The 8,488-nt window shown below is 37.4% G+C and overlaps 2 annotated features.

The window, feature by feature from the left end:
- Nucleotides 2,403–2,902: an enhancer, noted in NCBI's record as "H3K4me1 hESC enhancer chrX:83240129-83240628 (GRCh37/hg19 assembly coordinates)". NCBI's record gives its function as "activates a minimal SCP1, AML or CMV promoter by ChIP-STARR-seq in primed H9 embryonic stem cells {active_cell/tissue: H9 hESC(primed)}" and the evidence as "EXISTENCE:reporter gene assay evidence [ECO:0000049][PMID:30033119]".
- Nucleotides 2,903–3,404: an enhancer, noted in NCBI's record as "H3K4me1 hESC enhancer chrX:83239627-83240128 (GRCh37/hg19 assembly coordinates)". NCBI's record gives its function as "activates a minimal SCP1, AML or CMV promoter by ChIP-STARR-seq in primed H9 embryonic stem cells {active_cell/tissue: H9 hESC(primed)}" and the evidence as "EXISTENCE:reporter gene assay evidence [ECO:0000049][PMID:30033119]".

Raw genomic sequence — 8,488 nt, 5'->3', positions numbered from 1 at the left:
TTTTCATGAATTTATGAATTTCTTCTAGGTTTTCTAGCAAATAAACCTAGAGGTGTTTATAGTAGTATCTGAGGGTCTTTTTGTATTCTTGGGGCTTTGGTGGTATTGCCTCCTTTGTAATTTCTGATTGTGTTATTAGAATCTTCTCTCTTTTTAAATTAGTATAGTTAGTGGTCTGTCTTATTTATTTTTTCAAATAACCAAATCCTAGATTCATTAATATTTTCTATGGTTTTATTTGTCTCAATTTTCTTCAGTTCAATTCTGATTATGGTTATTTTTTGTCTTCTGCTATCTACGGGTTTGATTGGCTCTTGTTTCTATAGTTATTTCAGGTATGATATTAGGTTGTTAATCTGAGATCTTTCTAACTTTTGATTTAGGTGCTTAGTCCTATAAACTTCCTTTTTAACACTGCTTTAGCTGTGTCCCAGAGATTCTGATATATTTTATCTCTGTTCTAATTAACTTCAATGAATTTCTTGATTTCTGCTTTAATTTTATTGTTTACCCCAAAATAATTCAGGAGCAAGTTGCTTAATTTGTATGTAATTCTGTGGTTTTAAGCAGTCTTGTAAGCATTAATTTATATTTTTATTGTGCTATGATCTGATAATTTGGTTGGTTTGATTTTGGTTTCTTTGAATTTTCTCAGGATTGTTTTATGGCTGATTGAGTGATAGATTCTAGAATATGTGCCATGTACAGATGAGAAGAATGTGCATTCTGTTGTTTTTGGGTAATGAATTGTGGGGATGTCTATTAGGTCAATTTGGTTCAGGTCCTGAATTTCTTTATGTTAGCTTTTTGCCTTGATGATCTGACTAATACTCTGTGGTGTGTTGAAGACTTTCACTATTATTATTTGGTTATATAAGTATTTTTGTAGATTTCTAAGAACTTACTTTATGAATCTGGGTGCTCTTATGAATATTGGGTGCATATGTATTTAGGATACTTAGATCTTATGTTGAATTAAACCATTTACAATCATGTAATGCCCCTTTTTGTTTTTTTCATCATTGATCATTTAAAGTTTGTTTTGTCTAAAATTAGAAGAGCAATCCCTGCCTTTTTTTGTTTGTTTGTTTTCTGTTTACTTGGTAGATTTTTCTCCATCTCATTACTTTGAGTCTATGTGTGTCACTGCATGTAAGATGGGTCTCTTGAAGACAGCATACCTCTGGGTCTTGCTTCGTTATCCAACTTGCAACTCCATGCCTTTTAATTGAGGTGCTTAGCCCATTTACACTCAAGGTTAATATTGATATAGAGGGATTTCAACCTGTCCTCATCTTGTTAGCTGCCCATTATGCAGACTTGTTTTTATGGTTGCTTTGTAGTGTTAATTGTCTATGTATTTAATTGTGTTTTGAGATGGCTGGGAATAATCTTTTCTTTCCAGATTTAGCATTTTCTTCAGGACCTCTTGTAATGCAGGTCTGGTGGTAGCAAAATCTCTTAGCATTTGCTTGCTGAAAAGGATCTTTTTTTTCTTCTTTAGTAAGAAAGCTTAGTTTAGATGGATATTAATTATTTGGTTGGAATTTGTTTTTTTTAAGAATACTGAATACAATCCCTCAATCTCTTCTGGCTTGGAGGGTTTCTGTTAAAAGATTCCCTGTTAGCCTGGTGGGGTCCCTTTGTAGCTGATCTTTCCCTTCTCTATAGCTTCCTTTAACAATTTTTTTCTTTTATTTCAATTTTGGAGAATCTAATAGCTATGTTCCTTGGGAATGGTCACCTTATGTAGTATCTTGGAGGAGTTTTCTGCATTTTCTGGATTTTTAAATTGTTGGCTTCTTTAGCAAGGTTGAATAAATTTTCATGTATAATAGTCTCAAATGTTTTCCAAGTTGCTTGCTTTCTCTCTCTCTCCTTCAGGAATCCCAATGTGATATAGATTTGGTATCTCTACATAATTTAATATTTCTCAGAGGTTTTGCTCATTCTTCTTTAATTTTTTATTCTTATTTTTTTTCTGACAGCGTTATTTTGGAGAACTGGTCTTCGAAACTCTGATTTTTTTTCCTAAGCTTGGTGGATTCTGCTGTTAATACCTGTGATTGTATTCTGAAATTCTTGAAGTAAGTTCTTTAGCTTTATCAGATCAGTTTGGTTATTTCTAAAATGATCATTTCATCTTTCATCTTCTGTATATTTTTATTATATTCCCTAGAATTCTTTGATTAGATTTTGACCTTTTCCTGAATCTCAATGATCTTTGTTCCTATCTATATTCTGAATTCTATTTCTGTCTTTTCAGCCATCTCAACCTTGTTAAAAACTTTTGCTGGGGAATTAGTGTGGTTGCTTGGAGGTAAGAAGACACTTTGGCTTTTTTTGTTGCCAGAGTTCTTGCACTATTTTTTTCTCACCTGTATGAGCTGATGTTCAGTCAATCTTGAAGATGCTGTACTTTGGATGGGTTCTTTTGCTTTTATCTTCTTTGATTCCCTTGGGAGTTTAATTGCAGTACAGGGTTAGTTCAGCCAACTGGCTTCATTTCTTAAATATTTTAGAGGGCAAGGCACAGGTCAGCACTTCTGGCTTTGAACTCTAACTCTGTGGCACTGGTGTTGGGCTCCCATGTTTGTTCTCTGGCCCTTCAAGGTTAGCAACTTGCTGCACTGGATGAGCCAAGGTTTCCCAGAAAGCTAGCCACAACACTCCAAAGGGTGGCGCTAGCCAAAGTGCTCTTTGTCAGGGCAGTGGCAATGGAATCTATGCTTGTTGGTATGTGCCAGCTACGGCAGCAGTGTGGCAGGATGCACACCCACCAGCTGCGGTGGGCCGCCAGTGGGTGCAGGGCTGCTGGCCTCCATGTACAAATTAATATGAGTAAACTTAGTGGCATGGAATGTGGGGCAGGGCTGGCAATCTCCATGTTGTGTTTACACCAGTGGTGGCATTGGCATGCGGATGGAGAGCTGGTGAGCTCAGGGCCGTCAGCCTCTGTGCGTGCATTTGTGCTGGTGGTGGCAGCAGGGAGGGGCTTGGTGGGCAGAGAGAAGGGCCGCTGGCCTCTCTGTGAACATTTGTTTGGCAATGTTTGTGCATTGAGGAGGTCTGTGCTCATGCCAACGTCAGTGGTGCAGTACAGTGCATGCACACATGCATGCCAGTGTGGAAGGAGAGGAAAGGTCTCCCTGTGTGCCCATAAAAGGGGAAAGTGGTGAAGGAGGTGGCTATGGATGAGTGCATGTGGGCAAAGTGGTGTGGGGCAGGCTGTGGTGGGAAATATGTGTTGGTAGGCTTGTATATGTTGACAAGGGCCACTTTGCTGATGCTCTCTTATAGTCAGGTGCAATCTGCTGGTGAAGAAACTGATGCAGGCTATGGAAGAATGCCAGTTGAGCATCCAGGGCTCCATTTCAAGTGGGCATGGCCACAATGGGGCCACAGGAGAGGTCCTCGGGTAGAGGGGTGCTTATATCTGACTTGACCCATTTCATGAGCAAGACTGCCCTGCTCTGTTGAGGTCCAACAGTTCCCCTAAGGCTAAAGTTTTCTAGGAGAGCATGGCAAGCTTTGGGGAATGGGTTTTCCAGACTGTGCTCCACTGCAGATGTTCCTACACCAAACCCTGTCTGCTCTTCACAGGCTGAAGTCCTGCAGTACCATATCTCTAAGGAGCCCTCCCTGCCAGCCCAAGTGTTTGTGGAGATTATGGCTACTTCTGTTGCTAGGATACCAGAAGTCCATGCCAAGAGTAGATCACTCCACACCTGTACCACTAATTGCTTTCCCAGGAATCACTGGGGGCCAGTGTGTTGTAGTCCTGGCAAAGTTTCCAGCTTCCTCCATCTTTAGCCCAGTATCTGTTTACTTCCTCTGTCCACTCTCAATGCCTTTCTTCTCAAGATCTGCTTGCCATGCAGTCTTCACAATTTCACAATCTCTTGGTGGTAGATATTTTTCCTGACTGCATCTAGTCTACCATTTTGCTGTGCGCTCCCCATTTTTATTTGTAACTGTATATATTTAAAGTGTATAATATGATATTTTGATATACATATACATAGTAAAATGATTACTACTATCAAGCCAATTAACAAATTCATCATCTCAAAAAGTTATTTTTGTGTGTGTGTGGGGGGGTAAGAGTACATAAAATCTACTCTCTTAGCAAATCATTATAGAATATAACTATAATTTCTATGCAGTACATTAGATTTCTGGACTTATTTATCCTACATAACTACAATTTCATACCTTTTGACCTACATCTTTAAAATTATCCACATGCTTAAAATGATCAATTTTATAGTATGGATATTTTGGCACAATTAAAAATTTAAAACATAATTTATATTAAGTGCTCAAAAGTGTTCCTAGCATAGTCAAGGTTTAATAAATTTTAACTATTTTTAAATAATAATAACTGATAAGGTTTAGCTGTGTCCCCACCAAAAATCTCACATTAAATTGTAATCTCCATAATCTGCACATATCAAGGGCAGAACCAGGTGGAAGTAATTGGATCATGGGGGCAGTTTCCCCTGTGCTGTTCTCGTGATAATAAGTGAGTCTCACATGATCTAATGGTTTTGTAAGCATCTGGCATTTCTACTGCTTGTATTCACTCCATCCTGCCACACTGTGAAGAGGTGCCTGCTTCTCTTTTGCCTTCTGCCATGATTGTAAGTTTTCTGAAGCCTCCGTAGCAATGTGGAACTGTGAGTCAATTAAACCTCTTTCCTTTATGTAATTACCCAGTCTTGGATATTACTTCATAGCAGTGTGAGAATGAACTAGTACAATTATAATATGTAATAACATTGTTATTTTTGTACTTAAAATCTGCAAGATGTTCTGGCAAGGGCATCTGCTTTATTCTACCCTGCCTTATTTGAATACAAGCTTGTAAATGTCTCCAGTTTTGTTTTCAGAATATTGGGATCTACAGAATTAATTGGGGATCAACCGGAGAGGTAGTGATCCCCAAAGCCTTAAAAAGTGACTGGATTTAATCTGCAGCAGTATCAATGTAGATCCCCAGGATTGTTTAGGGGTAATGGAGAGCACAAGATGAGCAGGGTAGTAAATTAGCTTATATTACCTGTTTATATTTATAGAATCTTGAAAGCTTTGGCTTTGAACTTGCAATATGCACCTTTTGGTAGTTTCAAATGTTCTGGATGTAGGGCTCACTGTATATTCACACTAACTGCATGAGGTAATGGCCTCTGTTTTCTGGTTTAAAAAATTATTTAATAGATACTGGTTTGTTTATAATTTAAATAACGAAAAGGGACAAGAAAGAAGTAAAATAAAGTGGAGGCTTGTTTGGGCCTGCACACAGTGCTGATGGTAGTACTTCCAGGTAAAGTGTAAAGTGTAGGTTTCCAGGAAATGGGGTGGAAGATCATAGAGGAACTATGAACATACAGGTTGGAGAGGGGTAGACAGTCATGCCCAGCTCAACTGGAGCTATTTAGCTGATCATTGCATTTTACCATTCCCGCTAAATAGAAGCTATTGAGTACTTTAGACACTCTTCTAAATGCCATGGATTAAATAATAGAAAAAGACAAATGTACTACTTCATGAAGAAGATTACATTTTAAGTGGGAGTGAATACAGCATGAATAAATTTGTGGCAATACTGGACCAAAACCCAGTCCATAAAATGACCCACTGCTCTTAAATCTATCAGAATTTAAATTTTAATATAGATATTAGTTACATTTAGTTCTTTTTGGATTCAGGATGTCTGGCTGAAAATATCCTGCAGTTGGGAGTTCCAGAGCAATGATGGCAGAGAATGGGTGTTGGTTGGATCTCCCATTTTCAGCAAGTTTGTGCACAAGGTAACTTTTACTGCTCCAGTAGAGAACTAGCGGTAGTGTCCCCATTGCTGAGAGTTAAGTGGGAGATGATTCTGCTACTGAATTGTGTGGACTTCTCACACGAGTCACTATCAGGGTGCTAGGGCTCTTTTTTAAGGTAGAAATGGGACTGAATAAATTGCATGAGTTACTTGGTATTTGTAACTTTTTTTATGTACCAGATGTTGTAAGGTACTTGGGTGACTTTATTTGACTTAAATTGTCAAGGATGAGACAGGTCAAGACTATTTACATGGTGACCTACTTTTGAATAAAAAATAAAAGACTGAAAACAAATTGGCTTTTAAAAAGTTTTTTTTTGTGTAGAAATTTAAGGAGTACAAGTATAGTTTTGTCACATGGATTCATTGCATAGTGGTACAATCTGGGCTTTTTGTGTAATCATCACTCAAATCATGTATATTGTACTCACTAAGAAATTTCTCATTCTTTTTTTTATTATACTTTAAGTTTTAAGGTCATTCTTTACTCTCTTCCACTCCTGAACACTTTTGAGTCTCCAATGTCTATTATTCCACATTCTATGTCCATATGTGTGTGTTATTTACCTACTACTTATAAGTAGGAATATATATTTGACATTTTGTTCTAAGTTTTTTACCTAAGATAATGGCCTCCAGTTCCACTCATGTTTCTGCAAAATAAATGATTTTATTTTTTGTGGCTGAATAGTATTCCTGTGTGTGTGTGTGTGTGTGTGTGTGTGTGTTCGTTCGTGTGTTTGGATAGATAGATACATAGATGTCTCTGTGTGTGTGTGTGCATGTGTGTGTGTATTTAGATAGATTGATTGTTAGATACAAAGATTGATCACTTTTTTATCCAATTAAACATTGATGGAAATTTAGGTTGGTTCCATATCTGTGCTATTGTTAATAGTACTGTGATAAACATACAAGTGCAGATTTCTTTTTCTTTCTTTCTTTCTTTCTTTCTTTCTTTCTTTCTTTCTTTCTTTCTTTCTTTCTCTTTCTTTCTTTCTTCTTTCTCTTTCTCTCTTTCTCTCTCTCTCACAGGGTCTTTCTCTGTCACACAGGCTGCAGGACAGTCATGTGATTATAGCTCATTGTTAACCTCAAACAACTGCACTCAATCAATCTTCCCACCTCAGACTCCCAAGTAACTAAGACTACAGGAGTGAAATAACATGCCCAGCATGTAGAGATGAGATCTTGCTATCTTTCTGTGTTTGTTTTCATTGATATAAAGCAATACTTGAGACTAGTAATTTATATTAAAAAAGAGGTTTAATTGGTTCATGATTTTGCAGGCTGCAGAGGAAGCATGGCACCAACATATGCTGGTGTTGCATATGTTGAGGGCCTCAGGAAGCTTACAATCATGGTGAAAGGTAAAGGGAGAGTAGTTGTATCACATAGCGAGAGTGGAAGTATGAGAGAGAAGAGGGAGGTTTCAAAACATTTTAAACAACCAAATCTTATGTAAACTAACTGATTGAGAACTCACTTATCACCAAGGGGATGGTGCTAAAACATTCTTGAGGAATCCATCCCCATAATCCAATCACCTCCCACCAGGCCCCAACTTCAACACTGGGAATTACATTTCAACATGGGATTGGGAGGAGACAAATGTCCAAACTGTGTAAGTTGCCAAGGCTGGTTTCAAAATCCTGGCTCAGACAATATTCCATCACCAAGCCTCTCCCAAATTTCTGGAATTAGAGGCACAAGTCACTGTTTCTAGCCAAGGTATCTTTTTGATATAACATTTCATTTTTTGAGGGGTGGATACCCCATAGTGGGATTGCTAAATTGAATGATAGTTATATTTTTAGTTCTTTGAGAAATCGCCATACTGTTTTCCATAGAAGTTGTAGTAGTTTATATTCCCACCAACAGTATATACGCATTCCCTTTTCTTCACATCCTTTCCAACATCTGCTACCTTTTGACTATTTAATAATATAATTTTGACAGGTTTAAGACAATGTCTTATTGTGGTTTTGATTTGCATTTCTCTGATGTAGTGATATTGAGCAGTTTTTCAGCTGCTTTTTGGCTATTTTTATGTCTTTTTAAAGATATCTGTTCATGTCTTTCAACCATTTATTTGGAGTTAATTGTTTTGTTGTTGCTATGGTTGTTGTTTGAATTCCTTATAAATTCTGGATATTAGTCTCCTGTTGAATGCATAGTTTACAAATATTTTCTCTCATTATGCAGGTTGTCTGTTCACTCTACTGATTATTTCCTTTCCTATGCTGAAGCATTTTATTTTAATTACATCTCATTTATCTGTGTTTTGGTTTTGGTGCTTGTGCTTCTGAGGTCTTAATCATGATTTCCTTGTGTAGGCCAATGAAAACTCCAGAAGAGTTTTCCACAGATTTTTTTTCTTTTTGTTTAAATTTTTACTTCAATAGTTTTTGGGGAATAGGTGGATTTTGGTTACACAGATATGTTCTTTAGTGGTTATTTCTGAGATTTTGGTGCACCCATCACCCAAGCAGTGTCCACTGTCTCCAGTGTGTAGCTTTGTATTCCTCACTCCTCTCTTACACATTCCCCTGAGTCCCCAAAATCCATTATATTATTCTTATGCTTTTGCATCTTCATAGCTTAGCTCTCACTTATCAGTGAGAACATATGATATTCGATTTTCCATTCCTGCAT

Source organism: Homo sapiens, chromosome X, assembly GCF_000001405.40.
Source record: "Homo sapiens chromosome X, GRCh38.p14 Primary Assembly".
Lineage (NCBI taxonomy): Eukaryota > Metazoa > Chordata > Mammalia > Primates > Hominidae > Homo > Homo sapiens.
The sequence above is the reverse complement of the archived record's forward strand: the minus strand, read 5'-3'. Positions and strand labels throughout refer to the sequence as shown.